At 45.4% G+C, this 27774-nt stretch overlaps 1 protein-coding gene across 10 annotated transcripts in view, besides 1 other annotated feature; it reads left to right on the top strand.

Annotated features, from left to right (window-relative positions):
* Nucleotides 1–27774, top strand: part of TMEM132B (transmembrane protein 132B) — a 475992-nt gene that overhangs the window by 213727 nt on the left and 234491 nt on the right. For all 10 annotated transcript variants that reach the window (NM_001366854.1, XM_047428245.1, XM_047428243.1 and 7 more), the window contains one exon: nucleotides 15419–15565. In NM_001366854.1, the coding sequence (NP_001353783.1) occupies nucleotides 15419–15565 (147 nt within the window). The remainder of the gene's footprint in view (nucleotides 1–15418; nucleotides 15566–27774) is intronic.
* Nucleotides 8527–8715: a silencer, noted in NCBI's record as "fragment chr12:125893185-125893373 (GRCh37/hg19 assembly coordinates)". NCBI's record gives its function as "represses an EF-1alpha promoter that drives an FKBP-Casp9 reporter gene in an ReSE screen in phorbol 12-myristate 13-acetate-treated (for megakaryocytic differentiation) K562 erythroleukemia cells {active_cell/tissue: K562(+PMA)}" and the evidence as "EXISTENCE:reporter gene assay evidence [ECO:0000049][PMID:32094911]".

Consider the following 27774-nt stretch of genomic DNA (forward strand, 5'->3'; position numbering starts at 1 on the left):
CATCTCTCAAAAGGTAACACATGAGATCAAGGCAGCTGTTATAGTAGAAGCACTGAAATAACTAAAACCATTCTTTTTCTTGTAAAAATGTGAAATTTCTGATTTGTCCAAAGCTAGACACATAAGTTTCTTAGTATTTGACTTTCTTAGACGAGAGATTAAACTGAGCAATGAGACGGGAGAGTGGCAATAGCTTCTAGAAATCAGCACGTGTTGCCTGGGGAAAGTTCTCACTGGCATGCAGATCCCCCTTCAGGTGTCCTGTTCTCATAGCTGAGTTTCATGATTTCCAGTACTTCTCTCTGGTGGATGTGCTTTTCCAGCACCAGTTGTCTGTTTATCCATCAGGATGGCTCCTGTTCTGACTCAGAGGCCCAAAATATCTGGGTTTCCAGCCCCCTGGACAGGAGCATGTAAGACTGGAGTCCCCACCTGCTCCATGGTCATCTTGGCAGGCCAGGCTCCTGCCCTCTGTGGATCCCTTGGACTCTCTTTTCCATGCCCTGTAACCTGTTGCAAGGAGCTCTCAGCAGAGTCTGACGTTACCAGCCTCCAGGTGCTTAGTGGGAGATGCAAGCATCTCTGTCTTTGGTTAATTTATCACAGGGAAAGTGGTTTGGTGGGAGAGCCCCAATTAAAAGTATCCTTGCAGTTTTCCTTAATCACACCCTGAAAATGTTCCCGTGCCCCAGGCTGGGCTTATCTCAGAAAGGGTGTTGAACCTCTTTTGCATGACTCCGCTCGACAGAATGTGATGTCTGAGGTGTGTCCCAAACAGTATTGCCCACAGAGTGTTCTGAGGACCCCGTGCTTCAGAAGGGCAACTTGTTTAAAAACACAGCACTATGGGTCCTGCCCCCCAGACCTATAGCAGCACAGTCTCTAGAGGTTTGGTCCCAATCTCTGTGCCATGACAAGTGGCACAGGTGATTCTGATATGCTTGAAAGTTTGAGAGCCTCTGGTCCACAGGGTTCTGATGCCTTCACCCCCTTCCCTGCCCTTGGAATTTTTTGGTGATGTCTCTTACTGGGCATCTTCAGCCCTTGAAGTCTCATATTCGTGGGACATCCAGAGACGGATGACACCTTAGATAAAGACCCTTCATTCGACCAATATTGATTAAGCTCCTCCCATTTGCCAGGCATGGTTCTCAGCACTATGGATAATGCAGGAAACAGAAACTGCGGAATCTTTGCTCTCCTTGGGCTTATATCTAGTGGGAGAGACAGATAATAAACAAGGGAAGCAAAGTGTATATTGGGTACGGTTTAGTGCTAAGGAGAAAAATAAAGCAGGAGACCAGGGATAGAAGTTGTTGAGGATAAGAGGGATTTGCCATTTTAGATTGGGTGGTCTAGGAAAACTTCACTGAGAGGTGACATTTGTCCAGATCTGAAGGAGATTAGGGAATGAGTCATGGTGGTGTCTGTGGGAGAGGCTTCCAGGCAGGGGGAATGGCAGGTGGAAAGGTTTAGAGACGAGAAGGAATGTGCTGTTTTAGGAACCACGAGGAGCCAGTGTTCTGTTCCCCACCAACATACAATATTAGCATATTTTCACACACATAAATATACATTTTTATGAGCATTGCAATTCAAAGCTAGAAGGGTGTGATGGAGAAATTTTCTTTAAGTATTTTTGGCTAATTAAAATTAATTGACTAAAATTGGGAACCAAAATTTTGTAGAAAATAGTGAGAAAAAACTTGATTGGGATTTTTTTTTCTTCCTTGAGAAATGAAATAAAGATTATAATAAAAGTTTATTTTATCTTGTAGTAAACAAAATTAGGGGTTGGCAATTCCCGATCTGTGCACTTTGAACAAAGAATGCATGTTGATAATTTGTCATTTTTCTTCCAGTTTTCTATAACTATACAATATTGCAGTTCTCATTTCATGTTTGACATTGCTAGTAGGATCACAAAAAGGATCCGTTTAGCGGAAATATTTGAGGGCTTCTCCAGTTTCCCCAAGAGCTTCACGATACTCGGCTATTGAAACTGCTGTCTTCTGAAGCACCCATTGTCCTCACTGATTTTCTCCTCTTCACTTGTTTACTTACTATCTATCTATCTATCTGTCTATATCTATTTGAGATGGAATCTTGCTCTGTCACCCAGGCTGGAGTGCAGTGGCGTGATCTTGGCTCACTGCAACCTCCACCACCCGGGTTCAAGCAATTCTCCTGCCTCAGCCTCTGGAGTAGGTGGGATTACAGGCAACCACCACCACGCCTGGCTAATTTTTGTATTTTTAGTAGAGACAGGGGCCAGGCTGGTCCTGAACTCCTCACCTCAGGTGACCTGCCCACTTTGGGCTTTCAAAGTGTTGGGATTACCGGCATGAATCACCATGCCTGGCTGGTAAATATATCTTGAAGGGTGATTGTAGACCCTGGCTTCATTCTCTTTGTTGATAGTTTTGCATGCATTTGTCCATCCTCTACTATTACAAGATATGCAATTTCACTTTGCAATGGATTTGCATTGCTTTTGCATTGTATTTATAGTTGGCAGTCAGCAGAATCTGACCAATCAAGATGGCAGAGATGTTGAAGTGGTGGGCAGGGGTAGATGCTGCTGTCATCTAAGGGCCATGTGTGGGCAGGGACTGACATCTGGAAGAGTCCATTTATCAACAAGTGGTTTCTTGTTCTGCCAATTTATCCTTCCGTATGTAATCCCATAATTTCAAGGATTCATACAGCAAATGTTTATGTAATGAAGAACCTATGGAAAATACATATAATTTTTTTTTTCTGTATGTCAGAAATTGGTTATTATGTAAGTGAGATAAAAATGGTTCCTGCTCATTGGCCCCTGTGTTGTTTGTTTCTTCACAGCAGGCTGGGACCTGTTAGCTCAAAAGCCTGCTGGCACCAAATTCATATTTTTACACATCCAATTGTTTTAAACATAGCCCAAATAAACAGATTTTTAGCCATTTGGAGCCTGCCTGTTTTGCATACCCTGCAAAACTGAGTCCAATGTCTGTTAGTTGTAAATAAGATAAACCTTTTAGCTATAAAAGAACTCAAGCTGCAACTGCCCTTTAGAGCTCTCTGACCCAGAGACTCCCCACTGAGCTGCTGAGTGACATTATCTAGACATGTGAGCCCCTGTCTTGAATCTACCTCTACTTTCAGAGTTCTTTCCCTCCTCCCCTCTGGCTGGTGGCCCCTCAGGCCACATCCTTTGGACTGTCTCATGCTGTGAGGGGCTTCTTTCATGCAAACCTGTCAAAGCGTTGCCCAAATAAAACTCGTTGTATGCTACTGCCACCTTGTGGTCATATATTTTTCTATGCTCAGAGCCCAAATTCCGCAAACTCATTACAGTGGTGAGACCATTATCTTTTCCATGTAGTTTTAGATATTGTAATTTTTAAATAACAAGTGCTAAGAATATCACCAAGCCTAAAGATATTTCTCTAAAACAAACTTAATGAATATTCAAGACATAGATGTTCCTGGGCTTAAATTGTTCTAACAAAGATAATCTAAAATTAGGAAGGATTTGGACTAAGGACTGGGATTTAGAAACAATTGTATAACTTGTGTTTAAGAGAGAGGAAAATGTCAATAGTTTGGTTTTAGGTTTGTGTTTTTGATACCCAGCATTCATTTGTTCTGTTGTAACTTGAATTTCCTTTCAGGAGCCACTCCTTGCTAACCTCTCCCACGTGATTAGGAGGGGGTTAACTTCACCCTTAGTGACCAGCTTAGTTGACCAGCTAAGCCCATGAGCATTGTCCCTCTACCCTAGATGCCATAATGATTGGCTCAAGATTGAGCACTCAGTTTAATTTGGCCAATGAAAACCTGGCTCTGGGATCTTTGATCTAAGGGAAAGAATTTTGCTTTTTTGTTGTGGATGAGGATGTGAGATCTGGAGCTGCTGCAGCAACACTGTGACCATGAGAAGAATTGGTGAACAAAGCCCACATGCATGAGAGCTGAACAGGGTCCAGTGCCTAATGGAACTGGAGGTAACATTTGAACGTCTATAGTGAGTTGCATCTGAATTTGGCCCTATCTCTGGACGTTTTCATGGACATGCACCAGAACTGGATTTTTAAAAATCAATTGCAACTGCTATGACATGTCCAGAATTTGTCAGGTGTACAGCAATGTCCTTTGGGCCCAAAGGATTGAGGGCTGGATGTTCTCTAGAGCACCCCTTATGAAATAAATGGATCTACTCTGGCAAACGGAGACATTTGCCTTTGCCTAGGGATGTTAGAGGAATTTTCTGCTAAGGAAGAGGAATAGGATCAGGAAATCATATCTGGAGAAGAAGTGTTTAGAATCCTGGCTGGAGACTTAGGGTAGTTCCAAAGGACATCTCACAAGGTAGGAGGCTTAGATGCTTGTGTGTCTGATCTCTGGAGACCGTATGGTAGTTCATTGTTAGGAAATTAATAATAGCTAATGCTGATCCACGTCTTTGTTCCAGGTGTTCTTCTAAGCACTTAATATACACCAATTCACTTAATCTTCATAATAGCAACACTGTAGGTAGATAGTGTTATTATCCACATTTTACAGATAAGGAAACTGAGTCACAGAAGTTCAATGGTTATCCAAGGCCTCACAGCTAGTCCTTCTTGCAGCTGGAATTAAATTCTGGGAGTCTTGCTCCTAATCCTTCTCTCTCCATCACCTTCCTGACATTCATTCCTGGGTGTATCCAGCTCTGCTAGGGAGGGAGGAATGCCCAGTGTTTCACTCCAAAGCAAAGATGTCAGAATTTATTTATTTTTATTTTGTCAGTTTATTTTGTTTATATGTAAGCCACTGTTTCCCTAGACAGACTGTCTCACTCCCTTCTTTGATTCACAGATACAGCGTAACATAATAATAATAAACACACCTGTAGCACTCCGTCTGTGCCAGCACTTTATATTGTATTAGCTCACTTAACCCTTGCAGCAGCCTCACGAGATGGCCACTGTGTTAGCTTCCTGGGGCTGCCACAGCAAATGGCCACAAACGCGATAGTGTAAAACAACAGAAATTTATTCTCTCACAGTTCCAGGAGGCCAGAGCCCAAAATCAAGATGTCCGTAGGGTTGAGAAACCTTCTCATGCTTTTCCCCTACCTTCTGGTTGTTGCTGGCAGTCCTTCATATTCCTTGGCCCATAGAAGCATAACTCCAGCTCTCTCTCTCTCTGACTTCACATCGCTGCCTTCTCAGGTTCCCTGTCTGTCTCTTATAAAGACACCACTCATTGGATTTACAGCCCACCCTAAATCCAGGATGGTCTCATCTTGAGATACCTAAGTAATTACATCAATGAAGACCCTGTGGCTCAATAAGGTCACATTGTGAGGTTCTGGGTAGATATGAATCCCTGGGGGACACTATTCAACCCCTTATAGACACTTATTTTTTCATCATTTGAGAGAGGAGGAGTCTGTACTGCACCAAGAGTCAATGGCAAAGCCAGGACCTGAACCTGGCAGGCTGGTGTGAATACCTGTGCTGTGCCAGTCAGGTATAGTGGCCAGATGGGCAGGCTCAGAAATGAGGACCCCTACACTCCATCCTGCCTCCACCTTGTGATTTTGTGCCTGTTCCTTAATTGTTTGGTGCCACAGATTTCGCATTTGTAAGTCTAGGATAATGAGACCTACTCATAGTGCTGTAAAGAGGATTAAATATGTTGATACAGGTAAAGCACGAGAAAATTTATGCAAAGCCCTTGGGAAAGTGTCTGGCTCAGGGGAGTGGCCTCAGTAAAGCTCAGCTATTATAATCCACAAATATTCCTGAGTGGCGCTAGGATGCACATGGCTGCTGGCATCTTGCAGCCATCAGAGTTTGGACAGGACAGTTTATTATCATCAAGGCATTTGGTAGTATTGTCTTCAGATGGTTGTGAATTCAGGTTGTAGCTTTCCTTGCTTTTTTTTGGAATATTTATTAGTTCAGTTTCCTGAACTAATGAAGAACTAAGTTCTTCCACTGTGGGCTGTTTGGTTAACTCAAACGTTAGTAGATATGCTTAACTAGATCTTTTTGCTAGTGAATTTCCAGTAGACTGTGAGTACCTTTTACTGTCCAAACAGGAATCTTCTTTATCTCCTCTGGCTAAAGCAGAATGCAAAACTTCCCTTCCCTGGTCATACCCACACAATTTGCCTGTCTAGTGATGCTCATCAAGTTTCCTCATGTGGAAAATGGAAGCAGAAGCGATACTACCCCTGCGGGGTTGCACGAGGCATCTGTGTATTAGCAGTGCAAGGCGGAGGACAGTGCCTGGCTTCTAGAAGGGGCTTGAGACATTTCAGCATTTGTGAACAAGTTCTTTTTCTACTGTGAAATGGGTACCGGGGAAAGGTGAGCCACAGTCTCAGTCTGTGGCCAAAACCATCTGAGACTCACTGGTCTGGACTGAGCCATGCTCCTCTTTGCATTTCCAAGTGCTTCATGTGTAGTACCTGAAACTCAAGAAATCCTCTTTAAACGTCGGAGGACTGGGTGGATGATATGGGGTATAAAAATATTTCACAGTCTTGATGGCGTGAGTTCTAATTGCACGCTTCCTTCTCCAACCCCCGCCCATGGCAGACAGTGAAAGACTTGACCCACCCACTGGAAAGCTGGGAAGGTCTCAAGACCACCCTCACTTCTGATGCCATCTGCAAGTCTGGAGGGTCCCCAAGACCACCCTCAGGTTCAGTAATTTTCTAGAAGGACTCAAAGAACTCAGAAACGCTGTTGTACTTATAAATATTGTTTATTCTAGTGAAAGGATACAAACTGAGTTCAGCCAAGGGAAGAGGTGCATAGAGTAGGATCCAGTAGAGGTCCAGGGCAAGCTCCCAGTTGACCTTTCCCAGTGGAGTCGTATGGACAGCATTTGCTTCTCCCAGAGCTGATGTGCAACCATAGGCACAGAGTGCTGCCAACTGGGGGAGCTCACCCAAGCTTGGTGTCCAGAGCTTTTTTTGGAACTTGGTCACATAGACATGGCTGACTCTCCAGTCCCTCCAGTGGTCAAGCAGATCCCATGTGGCCCAAGCCTCCCTACTATAAATCATATTGAAGCACAGATTATCTGGCATGGCCCAAGACCTCAGGTAAACAAAGACACTCTTATCAGGCAAGAAATTCCAAAGGCTTAAAAGTTAGTTCTCAGGAGGTGAAGGCAAAGGCCAGACCTCTCTTCGGGCAAAGTTAATCCTTTACTGCCCACCCACTATGTAGACAACCAAACAAACCCAAAACCCTGTAGAGTGGAGTATTTAGTTCAAAAGTGGCTGGTCTAAGTAGAAGACAGAAAGATGCAGGTGTGTACTCACAGAGCAGGTTTCCTTTTGCCCAGCTAGGTGGTGGATGCTATGGGCTGGGAAAGACATATGGGGAGTGAGATGGAGAAGGTGTGACCCCGTGCCCTGTCTGTCTGTCCCTGCTGGGTAGAGGCTGGCCTGGAGTCCAGTTGTCTTTCTTTTGACTTATCTACAGCAGCTAGAATGTCTCTCTCCCTGGTCCAACCAGGAGGGATGCTCATCTGGACTCAGACTCTTTCCAGCATCCAGTCCTCCATCACAGACAAGGCCAAAGCTCAGGTCACTCTTGTCGCTCAGAACCAAAGGGACCGCGGACACCTGGTGGAGGTCTGGGGGAGAAACGCCTCTGTGTGTCTGGGGTGGTGACATTTGGGTTCACCTGGAGACCTACCAGTGAACGTGGGCAGTGGTGGAGCCACCATGTCCTCCTGGCTCTGACTTACGTCCCTGTTACAATGCACTTGCTCTGTTTTGAACTTCATATTGAACTGTAACCTACATGCAGAAGAGTCCACATAAGCGAGCACAGACTGATGAGTTCTCACAACCACCAAGTAATCGGCATGCAGAAGGAGAGACAGAGCATGGCAGGGTCCCCAGAAGCCCAGCAGGACTCCACTCAGTGACTGCCTCTACCACAGGGCGGCCACTGTGCAGGCTTTCACCTCGGAGATCTGTGTGCCTGCTTCTGACTTTCCACGAACGGAATTGCACAGTGCGCGCTTTTGGTACCTGGCTTCTTCCACTCAGCTGTGTATTTGGAGGGTCGCTGTGTTGTTGTGTGGTGATAGGCTGCTTCCTCGTTACTGCTGTATAGTGTTCCACTGTGAGATGTTACGCTTTACCAGTTCCGTTGTCAATGGGTGCTAGGGTCTGAACGTCTGTATCCCCCACAAATTCGCATGTTGAAATTCTTATCCCCAAGGCAGAGTTATTAGGAGGTGGGGCCTTTTGGGAGATTAGGTCATCTCCCTAAAGGAATGGGATTAATGCCCTTATAAAAGAGGTTTGAGGGTGCTCTGTCACCCCTTCCACCATGCGAGGACACAGCATGACAGCCGCATCTATAAAAAAGCAAGCTCTCACCCGGCACTGAAACTGCTGACATCTTGCTCTTGGACTTCAGCCTCCAGAACTGTGAGAAATAAATTTCTGTTGTTTATAAGCCTCCAAGTTTGTGGTATTTTGTTAGACTGTCCCGAACAGATTAAGGCAATGAGCATTTTGGGTTGTTTCCATTTTGGGCTGATGGCAGGGCTGTCGTGCACCTTCTTGTATGTGTGTCTTGGGGAACAGGTGCATGTGTTTCTGTTGGGCATAAACCGAGGAGTGGCAATGCTGTTACAGGGTCTACGGAAATTCAGGCTTTGTAGTTATCACCAAATAGCTTTCCAAAGAGGTTGAACCAAATTACACTCATTCCAGCAATGTTCACGAGTCCCAGTCACTCCATGACCAGGCCACCATTTGCTTTTTTCTCTCTTTTCAGTTTAGCCATTCTGCTGAGTAAGTGTTTTGACTTTTGTACTGCACAAGGGGATACACCAGAGTGGATTGTTAATAATAATAGTGATAATGATAACTAATAATAATAATAATTGAAAAGTCAAGACAAAGACAGTCCTGGAGTGCATCAACCCTGTCTTGGCTTCAACTGTTATGGAGAGAATTACTTTGGGACTTATGTGCTCACAGGTACTCTCCTCAGTTTGTGTAGAAGCCTGCTGCCTTTACTGCAGTTTTGAGGGCACTTTTGCAGCTTGAAAGTCCACTCTTTGGAGAGTTGCTGGGCCCTAGAATGCCTGCTGAGCCAGCCACAAGGGAAGAGGGACTGAGATAGGCATCTGGTTTCTGGAGACTTCCTCGTGTCCTGGAAATCAACCACACTGGAATTTATGGATCCCCTTATTTTCCAAATTGCAAATGCAGCAAGGGACCCTCTTGGGTGTGGCTTCACTGTGATCCTGGAGGCTACTGGAACCCGAGGAGCCCTGTCCCGTGAGGAGGCATCCGGCGGCAGTGCTTGTGGTGTGCACAGGAGCTGATTGAGGGGGGGCAACACTCCTAAGAGGGGTGGGAAGACTGAGGCGAGCGAGAAAAATAATTGTGTCCCAAGCCTCAGTGCCAAGTGGGGTGCTTGGCTGTGGACAGTGGAGTGGAGTGAGTGGAGTGGAGTGGAGTGGAGTGGAGGAGTGGAGTGGAGTGGAGTGGAGGAGTGGAGTGGAGTGGAGGAGTGGAGTGGAGTGGAGTGGAGTGAGTGGAGTGGAGTGGAGTGGAGTGGAGGAGTGGAGTGGAGTGGAGTGAGTGGAGTGGAGTGAGTGGAGTGGAGTGGAGTGGAGTGAGTGGAGTGGAGTGAGTGAGTGGAGTGGAGGAGTGGAGTGGAGTGGAGGAGTGGAGTGGAGTGGAGTGGAGGAGTGGAGTGGAGTGGAGTGGAGGAGTGGAGTGGAGGAGTGGAGTGGAGTGGAGTGAGTGGAGTGGAGTGGAGTGAGTGGAGTGGAGTGGAGTGGAGTGAGTGAGTGGAGTGGAGTGGAGGAGTGGAGTGGAGTGGAGTGGAGGAGTGGAGTGGAGTGGAGTGGAGGAGTGGAGTGGAGTGGAGTGGAGGAGTGGAGTGGAGTGGAGGAGTGGAGTGGAGTGGAGTGAGTGGAGTGGAGTGGAGTGAGTGGAGTGGAGGAGTGGAGTGGAGTGGAGTGGAGTGGAGTGGAGGAGTGGAGTGGAGTGGAGGAGTGGAGTGGAGTGGAGTGGAGGAGTGGAGTGGAGTGGAGGAGTGGAGTGGAGTGGAGGAGTGGAGTGGAGTGGAGTGGAGGAGTGGAGTGGAGTGGAGTGGAGGAGTGGAGTGGAGTGGAGTGAGTGGAGTGGAGTGGAGTGGAGGAGTGGAGTGGAGTGAGTGGAGTGGAGTGGAGTGGAGTGAGTGGAGTGGAGTGGAGTGGAGTGAGTGGAGTGGAGTGGAGTGAGTGGAGTGGAGTGGAGTGGAGTGAGTGGAGTGGAGTGGAGTGAGTGGAGTGGAGTGAGTGGAGTGGAGTGGAGGAGTGGAGTGAGTGGAGTGGAGTGGAGTGGAGTGGAGTGAGTGGAGTGAGTGGAGTGGAGGAGTGGAGTGGAGTGGAGTGAGTGGAGTGGAGTGGAGTGGAGGAGTGGAGTGGAGTGAGTGGAGTGGAGTGGAGTGGAGGAGTGGAGTGGAGTGGAGTGAGTGGAGTGGAGTGAGTGGAGTGGAGTGAGTGGAGTGGAGTGGAGTGAGTGGAGTGGAGTGGAGTGAGTGGAGTGGAGTGGAGGAGTGGAGTGGAGTGAGTGGAGTGGAGTGGAGTGGAGTGGAGTGGAGTGAGTGAGTGGAGTGGAGTGGAGTGGAGTGAGTGGAGTGGAGGAGTGAGTGGAGTGGAGTGAGTGGAGTGGAGTGGAGTGAGTGGAGTGGAGTGAGTGGAGTGGAGTGGAGTGAGTGGAGTGGAGTGGAGTGGAGGAGTGGAGTGGAGTGGAGTGAGTGGAGTGGAGTGGAGTGAGTGAGTGGAGTGGAGTGAGTGGAGTGGAGTGGAGTGAGTGGAGTGGAGGAGTGGAGTGGAGTGGAGTGGAGTGGAGTGAGTGGAGTGGAGTGAGTGGAGTGGAGTGGAGTGAGTGGAGTGGAGTGAGTGGAGTGGAGTGAGTGGAGTGGAGTGGAGTGGAGTGGAGTGAGTGGAGTGAGTGGAGTGGAGTGGAGGAGTGGAGTGGAGTGAGTGGAGTGGAGTGGAGTGGAGTGAGTGGAGTGGAGTGAGTGGAGTGGAGGAGTGGAGTGGAGTGGAGTGGAGTGAGTGGAGGAGTGGAGTGGAGTGGAGTGGTCAGGGAGTGAAACTGAGACAGGGGACAAAGTAGAGATGCCCACACAAGAACAGAAAACCAAACACCGCGTGTTCTCACTCGTAAGTGGGAGATGAACAATGTGAATACATGGGCATAGGGAGGGGAACATCACACACTGGGGCCTGTCAGAGGGTGGGGGGGGGCCTAGGGGAGGGAGAGCATTAGGAGAAATACCTAATGTAGATGACAGGTTGATGGGTGCAGCAAACCACCATGGCATGGGTATACCTATGTAACAAACCTGCACGTTCAGCACATGTACCCCAGAACTTAAAGTATAATAATAATAAAAACAAACAAACAAAAATAAAAACCGGAGATGCCCAGTTGGCCAAACCTCTAGGGTACGTGTGAGGGGTTCCCTGCCTCTGGGAAGGAAAGTAAATGGATGGCTGCTAGGATGGGCTGTCATCTGGGCTCCAGTTGACCGGGGGAAGGTAAAGGGTTGGTTGCTGTCTTGAGAGCTTAGCAGCAATTAGCTAGAAATGCGTTTGTGGTGTCATGGGGCCGATCATCCCACCCAGACGGCAACCCGGAGGGGCCACCTTGGTCTTTCCTCTGCTTGTCTTCAAATGTAATAACTTCACTAAGGGGAAGCAGTCCGATGGTCCTGATGTGCAGCCTGCAGGTGCTGGGAAGGCTGTGCTGGTTGACAAAATATTTCAAAATGTTGACATTTGTTGGCTAATGGTCAACTTGTCTCAAGTCCTGCCTCCCTGCCTTCCTTGGGTCCCCTGGACCTGTTTAGGACCAGCAAGCACTGTGTTTCCTCAGCCCCTGCCACGGCACCCCCCGTGCTAGGAAATGCTCTATGGAAGATTTGGACTGTCTCCCCGCACTGGACCCTCTGCTTCTCAGACTCTGAGGAAGCGTTTGCCCACTGTGAGAGTCTCTGTCGGGATAAACCAGAGGCTAGAAGCCCCAGTGGAAGAAGCATCGTGCACGGAGTCCCATGAATCAATTCAGAGCTGATGAATGAGGAAGCCCCTGAGGACGAGGGGACCTGTGTCTTAGTTTTGGGTCAGAATAAAAGAAGGAACAAAAATCTCACAGAAGAACCCTCCGTGGGTACGTGTTGTATCTCTAAGACTGAAGGGAGAGGGGCCTGGCAATGAGGGCTCAATTAAGGAGCTAAAGTGTGAGACATTATTGTCCCCAGACTTAACTACTGAGGCATTTGTCAGGCAATAAATGATGCAATGTGTGTCATAAAAGAAATCCTCTGTTAATGGGCCAGTGCAGGAGGGAAAGGAGTGGGGTTTGGAGTGAGGGGATCTGGTTTCGAATCCTGGCTCTGCCAGAACCAGCTGTGTGACCTTCAGCCGGTCGTGCGCTATCGGGTGGGAGGGTCTGATTTGTTCATCTGGATGTTGAGAACAACGGTGACAGGCCTGGCCACACGGCTGCTTGGTGAAAGAACTCTGTGGGAGAGTGAGAAAAGCTATTATGGTAGCAAGTACCGATAGGAAGGAGGCGGTGTGTGGACAGCGGAAGGGACCCTGTTTCTCTAGATATGGCTCTGGAACATTCTCTGCAGTTTGCCCCTTTGGCAACAAGATGGGATGGCTGGGGGCAGGGACAGAACAGGATGCCTCTATTTGTGGTTTGCATAAATTAATTCCTGGAACATCATGACGGCAAGAAAGAAAGCTTTGTGAAAGTAGCAGATTTGGACCCCAGAATTCAGCGGAAGAATGATCAAGTCAAGGCAAGGCATGGCATCTGAGTCTCCGGGAATTGCGGGCATTGCAGTGACTTTTTGGGGCGTGCAAGAGCAAGCAGAAGGATGTCTTGGAGTCTGTGTAAAGACCTACAGGAAGGGGAGAAAGGGAGGCAGAAACATTTCATTTTCTTTAATGAGATATGCAGACATTTGAATCTCCTAATTCTACCCTTAAGGTTCCTTACGGTGGGTGGTAAAGTTGGGGCTTTCCTCCAGTTCGAGAATCTCTCTCCTGCTTGAACTCTACCATGAGAGGCTGCCTTCCTTGGGTCTTATAGGTGTTTTGGTTTGATTTTGATACATTCTATTTTTTTAAAGTTTCAGTCACTCCTGGGAGGGGTCATTTTTCACCTGTGGTTTTTTTTTCCCCCATCTTCTTTTTTGTACTGAGGTAAAATTTACATCACATAAAATTAGCCATTTCACTGGCAATTAGTACATTCACAGTGCCGTTGGACCACCATCTTTGTTTACTTCCAAAACACTGTCGTCATCCCAAAAGGAAACTGGGTACCCGTTAGCTAGGCAGCTACTCCCCATTTCCCCCATCCTCACTCTTCCCCAGTCCCTGGAAACCACCAGTCTACTTTCTGTCTCTATGGATTTACCTTCTGAATGTTTCATCTGAATGCAGTCGTATACTATGTGGCCTTTTGTGTCTGGCTTCTTTCACTCAGCATCACGTTATCGAGGTTCATCACGTAGCATGTGTCAGAACTTCATCCCTTTTTATGGCTGAATAATATTCCGTCATATGGATAGACCACATTTTATTTATCCCTCCATCATAGATGGGCATTTGAGTTCTTTCAGTCTTTTACGTATTGCCCACAGTGCTGCTGTGAACATGAGTGTACAAGTATTTGTTTGAGTGCCTGTTTTCAATTCATTTAGGTATATACCTAGGAGTGGAATTGCTAGACCATATGGTAATTCTGTTTAACTTTTGGAGAAACTGGAAAACTGTTTTGCACAGTGGTTGTACCACTTTACGTTCCCCAGAGCAGTGTATGAGGGTTCCAATTTCTCTACATCCTCACCAGCACTTAGTATCTGTCTTTTTTATTTTAGCCATCCCAGTGGGTATTAAGTGGTATGTCATTGTGGTTTGGATTTGCATTTCCCTGATGACTAATGATGTTGTTGAGGGTATTTTCATGTGTTTATTGGCCACTTATATAACTCTGGAGAAATGTCTAGTCAAGACCTTTGCTGAGTTTTTAATTATGTTATTTGCTTTTGTTGTTGATTTTGTAGGAATACTTTATATACGCTGAATGCTAGGCCCTTATCAGATAGACAATTTGCATATATTTTCTCCCATTCTGTAGGTTGTCTTTTTGTTTTCATTCACTTGTTTTTAAATAGTGTCCTAGACCTGCTGCTATGTGTGGATTTGATTAATTAATCTTGGAGGTAATCTTTGCTTCCCATCAATCTTTTCTTGGTGGTGCTGGGATGTCTGGCATAATGCACCTGTCTTTGCTGACATCCTCTAACTCCTCCACATAATATTTGGCTGCCTTTGATATCCCTTTTTTGTTCATGGGAGAGGGTGCCCAGGGCCTCACTGGGCCTTTCTTGTGGGTCCACAGGCTTCTGGGAAGCAGAGAGGAGCTGGTCACCTTCCCAGCCCAGCCTGCACTGACCTCTGCAGCATTAGTTCGCAGCATTAGTTTACATCCCCAGAAGTCCCAGCGGGCCCTTGTGGTGATACCTATGTTCAGTTAAGACATAGTAAGCAGTGGGCACCCCACGGCCTGCCTTCATCCTGGTGACCCTCCAGATGCATACACAGCATTGGGCCAAGTCCCCAGGTCGCCCTGGGAGAACATGGATGTTGTCCGTGGACTCCCCACTGTTATAGAGGAGATGTTTTCTGGTTAGTAGCAACGTGAGGATCATTTCAGGAGCAGTGTACGAAAAGAAAGAAACCCAGACTGTGAACTCTCCTTGGCCTTTTCTCAATGGCAACACACCTGGGTCCTTGATTCTTCCTGGTGGAACCGTGTTCTGTGAACATTGTACCAGGCAGCATCTGGCCCCGTTATCCTGCCTGAATGCCACATTTGTTCTTCAAACACCTGAGGACTGGGTGCTCCCGTCCATTCCTGCTCCCAGAGTGCCCAGTGCAATGGCCTCCTCTTCCATCCCCTGGGCTGTGTGATCTTCTGGCCTTGCACAACCCACCCCGCATCTTAAAGACTCTTCTCCATCTCCAGGTGAAGAATAGGCCTTGCAGATCCATCTCTTCTGGCCCGAGGCATCTGTCTCATTTGCATCATGCTGGGATCCCTGGAGCAGCAAGTGATCTGGTTCCCAGCACACTGATTAAACAGAAAATTAATGCACATGGCAAAAGCTGGGGCTCCTACTTCCAGGCACTTGTAAAAATTACAAGACACTTAGTTTTTAAAGGAAAGCCACTTGCCACCACTCTCCCCCACATCTCCCAGAGGAAGGGGGCGATGTTACAGATGCTTTCCCAGTGATCTGCTCTCGTGCCATCTTTTACTACCTGTTTCAAACTAAAATGGTTTTATTATATATAATATCATTGTTTTCCCACCCCACAGAATTAAGGCGGCAGCAGGTGTGAAGATAACGGCAGTGAGAGTCAGCAGTGAGGACCAATGGGCAGTCCAGGAGGAAATTGATAATGGCAGCACTCAGACGTCGGCCACCCTCACCTGCATGGGCCATCGCCCGGACACGCAGAGCAGGTAAGCATGGAGATCCCCAAGGCACCTCCGCAGTGGGGAGGAGGGGAGTGGCTGCCAGAGCTGATAGCAAAATAATGTGCGTGTGGATAAAGCGATGCCTCTGCGTTTAATGAGAAATGATTTTTGAGGTCGGCAGTCTCAAAAATCACCAGAGTTCACATTTATCACAGCGTCGGGTTTGGTAACCGCGTTTTAAATTTTTATCTTTATTATTACTATTGTTATTGTTTGCAGCGAAGAGTTGAAGAAGGAAATGGGGGAAATAAAAATGATTTAAGAGGCAAGGGGAAAATATACTTAGTAATGAGCAAACCGAGGGTAGCTTTAGCTATTGGACATTCGTCCCTTAGTGCTTAAATATAGTTATTTTGCTGATATCACACTTGGGAATTGGCACATGGCCTCAGAATCTTAATTTGAATGAACTTGGCATTGCTGGAAGGCGGCCTGTCTTCTCTCGTTCAGACACCAGCCTTGGGCTTTACAAGGCTGAACTCACCTGGGACCCAGAGAGAGGTGATCACGTGTCACCTCACATCAGGACATCTGGCAGGTAGAAAGAACTCTCACCTGTGTTGCAGCCGCCTTCCCTACACAGTCTCATTGCCTCTGTTTTCTTCTTGTTTCATTAAACACCAGTCTTCTATGAGATTGCTTCACTGGGAGGGCTAACAAGCTTTGCTGGACATGTGGCCTCCTGCTTTAAAACCTCTGGCTCCTATTTCTCCCAGGAGGGGGCTCGGACTCCTCAGCTGAGCACACGAGCCCCTTCCGAGTTTGTTGCTTATCACCATATATTGTCACAACCAGTTCTCTTTCTTCCCTAAACTCTTCAAGGCCTGCAGCATTAGGAATGGCGGAGGCCTTCTGTGAATGAATGAAGGCCTGGGTGGAGGGGAGCATGAGAAATGGAGGGTCTTTTCCAGTGAGTTGCTGGCAAGCGCTGTCTCTTCTTGGGTGACCCCAGCCAACCCCAGCTAGAACTCTCTTCTGCCTGCTTTTGAAGATCTCTTTCAGAGGGTGAGAAGTGACTCAGACAGCGTGGTCCAAAGCATTCCATTAGGAATCACTAACTAAGTAATCTGGATGCCTCTTACTCTAAACTCTACGTTCCAGTCATCATTCTCTACATCTATCGACAGAGTTTTCAGCCCACAACCCTGCTTGACCCATGGTTTCCCTGCAGATTTGTGTCTGCCTGCTAGACACTCCTAAATTCTGAGTTGTTAGTTTCTAGGGAGCCTTGGATTTTTACATTGCTTAGGTGCTTTCAGTTGCAAGTAATAGAATATTTACCTCAAAGTGGCTGCTGCAGCAGGGTTTTGTCATCTCACATAAAAGAAATTGAGAGGTAGATGGTGCCATGGATGGTGAATCCAGCAGCACAACGGTGTCTCCTGGGTGTTTTCTGTCTTCCCACTCCAGTATACCCAGTGCCCTGATTGTCACTCTCCAGCTTGGGTTCCTCATGGTCACAAGATGTCTGCAGCTCTTCCAGGCATCATAGACTCACCCAACGATATCCAAAGACTGGAAGGGGGAGGCGGGGGGTCTCTCCTCATGTGTCCCTTTTTACCAGGGAGGAAAACCTTTCCAACAATATCCATGGAAGTCTTCCCTTTAGATCTTATCAATACGCAGTGGGTTTCATGCTTTTGCCCGAGAGGCAGGGTACCCTTGGAAAATGAGTCTCTGGTATTATTTCCGGGCTTTGTAGTGGGAAATGGTCTCTGTTGCCAGGGAATGAGGATGGGAGAATGGGTGCCTACTGGGTGGTCAGCTCACAGTGTTTGCCACACTCTTTGAAGCTGGTTTCTGTCAAAGGTTGTAGCTTGATTCTCTACTTCGCCTGGGGGCCCTGTGTGTTTGTATTCCCAGTGGCAGACTCACTCTTGGTTGCTGAGCTTATCAGGTGGGTTTGTGTCCCTGCAGGTAGAGAAGTTTGGGGGTGGCGTGGTACCAGGAATGTAGGGTCAGGTGCTCAACCAGTAACCTTAGCAACCTGTCTCCCTGGTTTAGCTTTTTCTCAGACAGGCCCTTCCCTCCTGGAGGCAAGATGACTGCTAGCAGCTCCCAGCAAACATCTGCTAACTTGGTCACTTCAGGGAGAAAGCTGCTGTCCCCAGATAGGCCAGGCACACGTCCCAGTGCTGGTCACCACTGGCTCTGTTTGGCATAACTTAGATTGTGCACCCACCCTGAACCAATCACTGTAGCCAGCCCTGAACCAGGGGTTTTGACCAGCGCTAATGGAAGAGCTTGGGCAGAGAGTGGGGGAGGGATTGTTGGTGGGCAGCAGATGCTGATGGGGACAGGAGATGGAGTGGGCGCCACCCCAGTTACCTTAGTCTCATGCCTCCTGCTGTTGTGCTACAGGAGTCCAAATGGGATTTTCTGGCCCCTTGCCCTCAGAAATCACTGTCTGGGTACAGAATGGTGATATCCATGGTCTATGCTTAGGAAATTAATTTTGTTGATATATTTGACTGACCAAGTGGTAATGTTTTAAATTGAAGAGCAACCTGGGCCACGGCTATCACTTTTTGGTTCTGTGAGAATCAGTTTTGCATTCTCTTTAGAAAAGATAAAAAAAAAGGTTACAGGGGAAAAAAGTAAAGTAGTTATATAAGCAGAGTTACATAATTATGAGACACTCTCACATTGTCTCATAAAGGAGAAAAAGTGTCCTCTTTCTCCTTCTCTTACTTCACATTTAGTATCTGACCTCCCTTGGGCCCTAAGAAGGGCAGGGATTGTCACTTTGGCATGACAATTTATGCTTACCTAATCTCGCAAAATCCATTCCATCATCTAAATAAATAATTGCTTCTTTTTATCCCTTTTTTTGTTGAATTGTAATATCAAATGAGGTGTGAAGTACAGGCTCGTGGACCGTGCTTGCCAGCTAACAAAGTGAATATATGAATATATCCCCAACAAAACACCCTGCAAAATGCTGTAATCTCTGAATTGTGACAACCTTGAGTGGAATAGAGTTTTTGATAGCATATTATGTACAAACTGCCTGAAATTCTGTGATAAGAATTAAAAATGTGTTGTATGGGAAGACCCGACATGCTCAGTTAGAAAGGCAGTAAAAATCTTAATTTAAAATATTTTAATGAACACTCTTTGTGAGGAAATGTGAGTAATAAAGATGAAAACCACAAGATAAAGAGTGGTGTTGCCAAAAGAGGAGAAGGAGATTAGAAAAATAAGCAAATTTGAAAGTGTTCAGAACAGATAACACTGAACCAAGGGAACCGAAAGCTAGATGATGGACTATTTGCATGGAAGCCACGTGCAGCTAGGTAGGTTGAGATGAGGTTGTTCTTTGAATGATTCTTGTCTGGCTGTTGGGACCCAAACCTCAGAGAAAATAAACCGCAACTTTTTATGTGGACAGAAACCACAATACAGAGCCCATTCTTATCTAAAAATTTGAATAGAGGCAGAGAAAAGCTCAGAGGATAGGCAAGCAAAAGCCCTAAAATAGACTTCTTCAAAAAAACAGGCACACCCACGTTGCTGTAACCCAACTCAAGGTGAAGTCAAGATCCAATCCAGCTGTTCACTGTGAAGGGTACTGTATTAGTCTGTTCTCACACTGCTAATTAAGACATACCCAAGACCGGATAATTTATGGAGGAAAGAGGTTTCATTGACTCACAGTTCCACATGGCTGGGGAGGCCTCACAATCATGGCTGAAGGCGAATAAGGAGCAAAGTCACATCTTACATGGTGGCAAGTAAGAGAGCTTGTGTAGGGGAACTCCCTTTTATAAAACCATCAGTTCTCATGAGACTTCTTCACTATCACAAGAATAGCATGAGAAAGACCCACCCCCATGATTCATTTACCTCCCACCGGGTCCCTTCCACATGTGGAAAATATGGGAGCTACAATTTAAGATGAGATTTGGGCGGGGACACAGCCAAACCATATCATTCCATCCCTGGCCCTTCCCAAATCTCGTGTCCTCACATTTCAAAACCAGTCATGCCTCCCCAACAATCCCCCAAAGTCTTAACTCACTTCAGCATTAACTCAAAAGTCCACAGTTCAAAGTCCTATCTGAGACAAGGCAAGCCCCTTCTGCCTGTGAGCCTGTAAAATCAAAAGCAAGTTAGTTACTTCCTAGATACAATGAGGGTATAGGCATGTGGTAAATACAGCCATTCCAAATGGGAGAAATTGGATAAAATGAAGGGACTACAGGCCCCATGGAAGTCTGAAATCCAGTGGGGCACTCAAAGCTCTAAAATGATCTCCTTTGACTCCGTGTCTCACGTCCAGGTCACACTGATGCAAAAGGTAGGTTCCCATGGTCTTGGGCAACTCTGCCTCTGTGGCTTTGCAGGGTACACCAGCCCCCTTCCTGGCTACTTTCATGGGCTGGTGCTGAGTGTCTGCAGCTTTTCCAGGCACACAGTGCAAGCCGTCAGTGGATCTAACATTCTGGGGTCAGGAGGACAGTAGCCCTCTTCTCACAGCTTCACTAGGCAGCACCTCAGTGGGGACTCTGTGTGGGGGCTTCCATCCCACATTTCCCTTCTGTACTGCCCTAGCAGAGGTTCTCCATTAGGGCTCTGCCCCTGCAGCACACCTCTGCCTGGGCATCCAGGCATTTCCATACATCCTCTAAAATCTAGGCAGAGGTTCACAGACCTCAATTCTTAACTTCTGTGCACCTTCAGGCCCAACACCACATGTAAGCTGCTAAGGCTTGGGGCTGGCACCCTCTGAAGCCATGATCCGACCTTTACTTTGGCCCCGTTTAGTCATGGCTAGAGTGGCTGGGACACAGCGTACCAAGTCCCTAGGCTGCACAGAGCAGGGGGATCCTGGGCCAGGCCCACTAAAGAAACCATTTTTTCCCTGGGCTTCTGGGCCTCTGATGGGAGCGACTGCCAGGAAGGTCTGTGACATGCCCTGGAGACATTTTCTCCATTGTCTTGGTGATTAACATTTGACTCCTCATTACATATGCAAGTTTCTGCAGCCAGCTTGATTTTCTCCTCAGAAAATGGGTTTTTCTTTTCTATCACATCATCAGGCTGCAAATTTTCTGAACTTTTCTGTTCAGCTTCCCTTTTAAACATAAGTTCCAATTCCAAACCATGTCTTTGTGAATACATAAAACTGAATGCTTTTAACAGCATCCAAGTCACCTCTTGAATGCTTTGCTGCTTAGAAATTTCTTCTGCCAGATACCCTAAATAATCTCTCTCAGATTCAAAGTTCCACAAATCTCTAGGGCAGGGGCAAAATGCCACCAGTCTCTTTGCTAAAACATAGCAAGAGTCACCTTTATTCCAGTTCCCAACAAGTTCCTCATCTCCATCTGAGACCACCTTAACTTGGACTTCATTGTCCCTATCACTGTCAGTATTTTGGTCAAAGCCATTCAACAAATCTTTAGGAAGTTCCAAACTTTCCCACATCTTCCTGTCCTCTTCTAAGTCATCCAAACTGTTCCAACCTCTGCCTGTTACCCAGTTGCAAAGTTGCTTCCATATTTTTGGGTATCTTTATAATAGCACCCCACTCTACCTGTACCAACTTACTGTATTAGTCTCTTCTCATGCTGCTAATAAAGACATACCTAAGACTGGGTAATTTATAAAGGAAAGAGGTCTAATTGACTTACAGTTCCACATGGCTGGGGAGACCTCACAATCATGGCTGAAGGTGAATGAGGAGCAAAGTCACATCTTACATGGTGGCAGGCAAAAGAGGTTGTGTGGGGGAACTCCCCTCTATAAAACCATCAGATCTCATGAGACTTATTCACTGTCATGAGAACAGCACAGGAAAGACCCACCTCCATGAGTCAGTTACCTCCCACTGGGTCCCTCTCACAACACATGGGAATTATGGGAGCTATAATTCAATATGAGATCTGGGTGAGGACACAGCCAAACCATATCAGCTACCATATTGGAAAATCTGGAAAATCCAATCTTTCAGGAGTTTTTCATTGCCTACTGTAGTCTAGAAAAATATTATAACCATTTGAGCAGAGGGAAAGGTCATCCTTTTAATTAACTGAGCTAATTCATTGTTTTTTATGAAACTTAACATTTGGCCATCAAACAAAAAACAATGTTGACATAAGACAGTTACCATATCAAGTGCCATCGTATGGATTTGTGAAACATGAACTGGCCTAAATTTTTCATTGTGCTGAAGGATTCTTATTCAAGTTTAAGAAAAGAAGGGAGACAGTTGAATGATTATAACAGGTGCCTCTATTTCAACAAAGTAGAAGTAGTTTTTCCTACCTGACCCCATTTGTGTTAGTTTCTTTCCTTCTATAAAATATTTTGTTGAAAGGTAAAAGAACACACAGAACATGTAATATGTCTTTGAGGACAATTTTGTTTGATTCTGTTTGTCCATTTCTTATTTTATTTAAAAAATCTATTGAAAAACCATATGGCTCTTGTTAGGTACCAGGCACTATGTTATGTCTTCTAGGTGAATACAATTTTAAAAATCAGAAATATTAGAACCCTGTAAAGTGGATATGGAACGTTATTATTATTCCCATTTAACAGATGTGTAAATTGAGACAGTTAAATGATTTCCTGAGGTCTCAGAGCCAGTATGTGGTCAAAGCAGTCCGACTTTAGAGTCCATGCTTAAACTGCCATCCTGGGCTCCTCAGAAGGCATGGCAAAGCGCCTGTGCTGTGAGCTGTGGTCACTTCCTCCTGCTCTTGCCCAGCCAGCTTTCAGCTCTCTTGTTCCCACAGGACTGAAAACTCATTAAAAGCAGTGCCCACAGCACCAGCAGGCCACCTGGCATGTGGAAGTAGGGGAGGTAGGTGGTCAAAGCATGCCCCCTCAAAAGACATGTCTATGTCCTCCTCCCCAGAACTTGTGAATGTGACCTTATTTGGCAGAAGGGTCTTTGCAGAGGTCATTAAGTTAAGGATCTTGAGATGAGATCATCCTGGATTAGCTGAGTGGACCCTAAATCCAAGGACTGGTGTCGTTTTAAGAGACACACAGAGGAAACGGCCACGTGGTGACAGAGACAGGGATGCGAGTGATGCAGCCACGGCCATGGAAACCAAGGAACGTCTGGAGCCACCAGAAGCTGGGGAGGTGAGACACTGATTGTCCCCTGGAGCCCTCGGCAGGAGCACGTTTCTTTCAACACCTTGACTTTGGATCTCTGGCTGCCAGAAGTGTGAAAGAATAAGTCTCTGTTGTTTTAAGCCAACAAGTCTGAGAGGATTTATAACAGCAGCCCCAGGAAACTAGACCAGGGGCGTAAAGAATACCTGTTGAATAAGCAGGTTGAGGCGGCCCAATCCTGGATGCCCATCAGTCACCTGGGAGTCTTTACAAAGTGCAGACAGTCCTGGATGCAGATTCCCTAGCCCTTACCCCAGTAGGCTACAAGCATTGGCCTTTGAAGAAAAGTCTCCAGGTGATTTTAATGTGCAGCCCGGGCTGAGAATTCCTGGGAGACATGAATGAATGAAAATTCATTTAAGCCCCAGGAGAAGATAAAGATATTTAGTTTTAAACGATTTTAGGATTTGAAAGCAATGGATTTGAGATACACAATTCTTAGATTTACAGTCACACTTGCCACTGGACACTTGGAAGACCTCTGAGTACCAGCCACTTCAGGAGTTCAAAGCCAGGATCCCATGTAGGGAAATGCGTCGTGCACAGGGCACCCGCCTGTAGGGAGAGCCACACTTAACAGAGAGGAGGGAGGTTTGTTTTTGTTTGTTTTTATTCATGCTAGAAAGTGACAACAGAGTCCTATAAGAAATGGAGGACTCCTCCCTGACCCCTTCAAAAAGCCCAGGCCTGCAGGAGAAAAGAAAAGAAACATTTAAAAACACTCCACTTATTTTTTCTAACCAGTGGGAAGTGCTTTGAATTTATGCTGCTGGCCAGTTTCATCTTAAGTATAACAAAAGGCTTCTTACTTCAAAAGTAATAGATGATTCAATTGTAGAAAATTTAGAAAATACAATTGGGTAAAATGGAGGGGATAAAAGTCATCTCCAAATCTATGATTGAAAGGGTAATAACTGTTAATATTTTGAGTATATTGGCATTCTATGTGATCACATCTATATACAGAAATATGTTATTTCTGTGCATATTAGACTTGCTCATTTAGCTTTGAAAACTTGTTTTCTGTACTAATAAAGAATAAATATATAGTAACATATTTTCATGTCATTGAATATTTAACTATAATGATTATTATCAAGCCCTTTACAAAAATTGGTCAAAGTGGTTAACCCTCTTCCCAGAAAAATGCAAATACACACACATAAACAATTTTTTCCAACAATTTCAAGATTTGTGGAGCCCTTCAATGAATCTGTAATTTTTAAAGTATAATATTCTATTGATATTATAGCAGTATATTCTATTCATTCCCCATATTTCATTTTTTTCCTCTTTTAAACATTGCTACTGGCCATTTTTATGAGGTTGCATCTTTTTCCTGTTAAACGTTCCTTTAAAATATTTTTTCTTTTGAAGCATAAAATGTCTGTCAAATATCTTTGTAGATAAATCTTTAGGAGGGAAAGCTAGACATGAACTGGCAGGTCAAAATACGTGATGCGTTTTTAAGTTCTGGATGCTTTGGTGAGCTTGTCCTGCCTGTTTACAGGGCTCCGTGTGTGTCCAGTGCTCACTTCCTTTGCCAACAGTGGGCCTTACCTTAAAAAAATTAATTTGATAGTTGAAATATGGCTATCTTCTTATGGGCATAATTTGCATCGACGTAATTTCTGGTTACATTTAATAACTTTTCCTGTGTTTGTTTGCGAATGTTTTTCCCTACTTGGTTGCCTTAATTTTGGACTATGTTTTTACTTTAGCAAGATTTTAGGTTTGTGCGTTGTCAAATGTAGTCATTGTTTTCTTTAAGGCAAAGACTCTAATCTGGAGAAGGATGGAGCAGGCCTAGCGGAATGCCAGAAAGGCTGTGTCAAAATCCATCCATCAGCCTGAGCCCCTCAGTGGTTAGGGAGAACCAGTGGCTGACGCTAGTTAAAGCAGTAAAGGCAGATTTTATTCAGAGACTCTTCCTGCAACAGTGGAAAAGAGACCTCCGTATGGAGGGGGACTCAATTGTGAACACAGTGGAGACAGCTGGGGATTTATAGCCAAGGAGAGGAGGAGGGGAGGAGGGTGAATGAGGGGTAGGCGGATGACAAATTACTAAGAGGAGACAGCAAGGGTAGGGGGATTCTTGCTAAGCCTACTTAGGATTCTTGCTGAAGGCAGCCACATATCAGGGGTGGGAGATTCCCTCTAAACAGACTTAGCAGATCCTTCCTAAAATTGGGATATGCGAGTCCAGCACGGATGGGGAATGGGGTGGGGTTGAGACATGGGGAGGAGGTGGTGGAGGGCAGGTTTGAGACCAAGTCAGGGCTCAGAGGTGCCTGACTCAAGCTTGGTTAAGGAGAAGGTTGCAGTGCCCCGTTGCTGGCCTGTCCAGAGCAGGTAGTGCAAGTGAGAACTAAATCTTGGTTGTTTTAAGCCATTGAAGTTATTTGTTACCACAGCATAACATAATCTATCCTGACTTGTACAAAGAATTTTCAATTATACATTTACAAAAATGTAATAGCCTTCTTTGAGGGGAGCAGTTTTAGGTTTACAGAATTGAGTGGAAAGAAAGTATAGCAAATTGCCACATTATCCTTTACCCCTCCAGTTCCCCTATTATTAACATCTTGCATTAGTGTGGCACATTTGTTACAATTAATTAGTCAATATTGATACATTATTATTAAAGTCCACACTACATATTGGGGTTCACTCCTTGTGTTGTAGGTTTTGCTAATGTATAATGACATTTATGCACCATTACAGTATCACACAGGATAGCTCCACTACCCTAAAACCACCCCCTGTGCTCTACCTACCCTCTCCCTCCTTCTCCCTGAACTCCTGGCAACCACTGATCTTTTTACTGTCCCCATAGTTTTGCCTTTTCCAGAATGTCGTATAGTTGGACTCATACAGTATGTACTCTTTTCAGATTGGCTTCTTTCACTTGGCAATATGCATTTCAGTTTCCTCGCTGTCTTTTCTTGGCTTGATAGCTCATTTCTGTCTATCACTGAATGACATTCCATTGCCTGGATGGACCACAGTTTATACATTTATCTACTGAGGGACATCTTGGTTGCTTCCAAGTTTTAGCAATTATGATTAATGCTACTATAAACGTTCATATTCAGGTTTTTCTGTAGATGTACGGTTTCAACTCATTTGGATAAGTGCCAAGGAGCGCAATTGCTGGATCATATGATAAGAATATGTTTAGTTTTGTAAAAAACTGCTAGACTGTCTTCCAAAGCGGGTGTAGCATTTTTCATTCCAATCAGCAGTGAATGAGACTTCCTGTGTCTTCACATCCTTGCTAACATTTAGTGTTATCAGTATTTTGGATTTTAGCCATTCTAATAGTTGTGTAGTGGTATCCTCATTTTTTAAAATTTGCAGCTCCCCAATGATACATGATGCTGAGTATCCTTTCATGTGCTTATTGCCGTCTATATATCTTCTTTGGTCAGGTGTCTGTTCAAGTCTTTTGCTCATTTTTTAAGTTGGGTTGTTCTTTTTTTTTATTATATGTTTTGCAACTATTTTTATTCTGTGGCTTGTCTTTTCATTCTCATGATTAAATATACATTTTGAGTGGTGATGCCAGTTCCATAATATGTTCATAGATTTCAAGTGACTACCTTTGGATGACTAAAAAGTTCTAAAGTTCTAATTCTCAAGATGGCTGATTTAGAGCAGAAGAAAGCATACTTGGGTGTTCTGGTGTGTTTGTTAAAAAAAAGTCTTATTTTTGGCCCCTGAGTCTTCCTGATGACCAGGAGGTTCTCACTGGCTGAGGGCTATGTCCCTGGCAACATGCAGGTTCATACAGCTCATTCCTGGAATGTCTGTGTGGCCACGTCAAGGTGTTTCTGACCGGGTCTTTCCCCACTAATCCATCCAGCTGCTAGTCTAGTCTTCTTAAAACAGCTTTCGTCACGACCTAGTGGTCCTGTTGCCTATCTCAGTAAATCTAAGCAGTTGGCTGGACTGTTACAGTCCTTTTGAGAATCAGAGTTCGAGATGCTGGAAACCCTAGTGCAAGAGTCAGACGCTGAGACAGTGAATTGAACCAGTAGGCAGCGCTCCCCATAGTCATAGGACAAGAGACCAAGTTTGATGGAACAAAGAGAACACAATGGGTTCCGTATGGAGAGAATCTAAAAAGGCTTCTCAGAGGAGGTGACATTTAAACTGGTCCCTAAAGCATGAGCAAGAGTTTAAAAGTGTTTAGAAATACACATTTCTGGGAAGGTGACCTATTAAACCATTCTGTATGTAATATTAACACTATATTATATTCGTCTTGCAAAATGCTCTTAAATGCAAAAATTTGATGTGGCACAGGTGAGGCTTGATAGTGGGGCTGGACGATCTTAGAGTATGGGAGGGTGCATCTGGATGGGTGCCTCTTTGAGCAGTCTATGCAAAGAGGGAGGACTTTTCAGGATTCATTGGAAGCAGACCTTCCTGATGCAACATTTATTGGGCACTACTGTGTGCCAGGTCCTATGCTCTATATTATCCCCTTTAATTATCAAAATAGCCAGTGAAGAAGATACCACTCTTGGCTCCATTATAGATGGGGAAACTGAGGGTCAGAGATGTTAAGAGCCCATAGCCATGTAGCTAGGACTGGTGGACCTGGGATTTGAACCCAGGCTTCAAGGCTCCAGAGCAGTGCCTGGCACAGAGTAGGCTCTCAACAAGTATGTGTTGAATGTTTTAAGTCCAACGCTCTTTTCGCAGTATCAGAGTAATCTAAAAACAAGAAGTGGATGGGGCCAAAGAGAAACTTTGCCAAAGGTCAGCACTTTGGTAGAATTTTGATAGCCTCCCCCAGATTCCTGATTTCAGTTACATTGCTCGAGGTTACAGGATGCTGGGCCTTAATCACCACATTGCCAGGTTCATGCACTGTAGGTCCTTTGTGAAATGGAAATAGAGGATAGAGTTTCTCTTAGAACTCCAAGTGGCATTGAGATTCCAACACGACCTTTCTTACCAAGTGCAGATGTTATTTCTACTGTAGGATTTAACTTTTGTGATTTCCTTATGCAGGAAAAAATTGAACCAGAGGGAATTGGAGTCTTTCTTTCTAT

Source organism: Homo sapiens, chromosome 12 (assembly GCF_000001405.40).
Source record: "Homo sapiens chromosome 12, GRCh38.p14 Primary Assembly".
In the NCBI taxonomy this organism is placed as follows: Eukaryota; Metazoa; Chordata; class Mammalia; order Primates; family Hominidae; genus Homo; species Homo sapiens.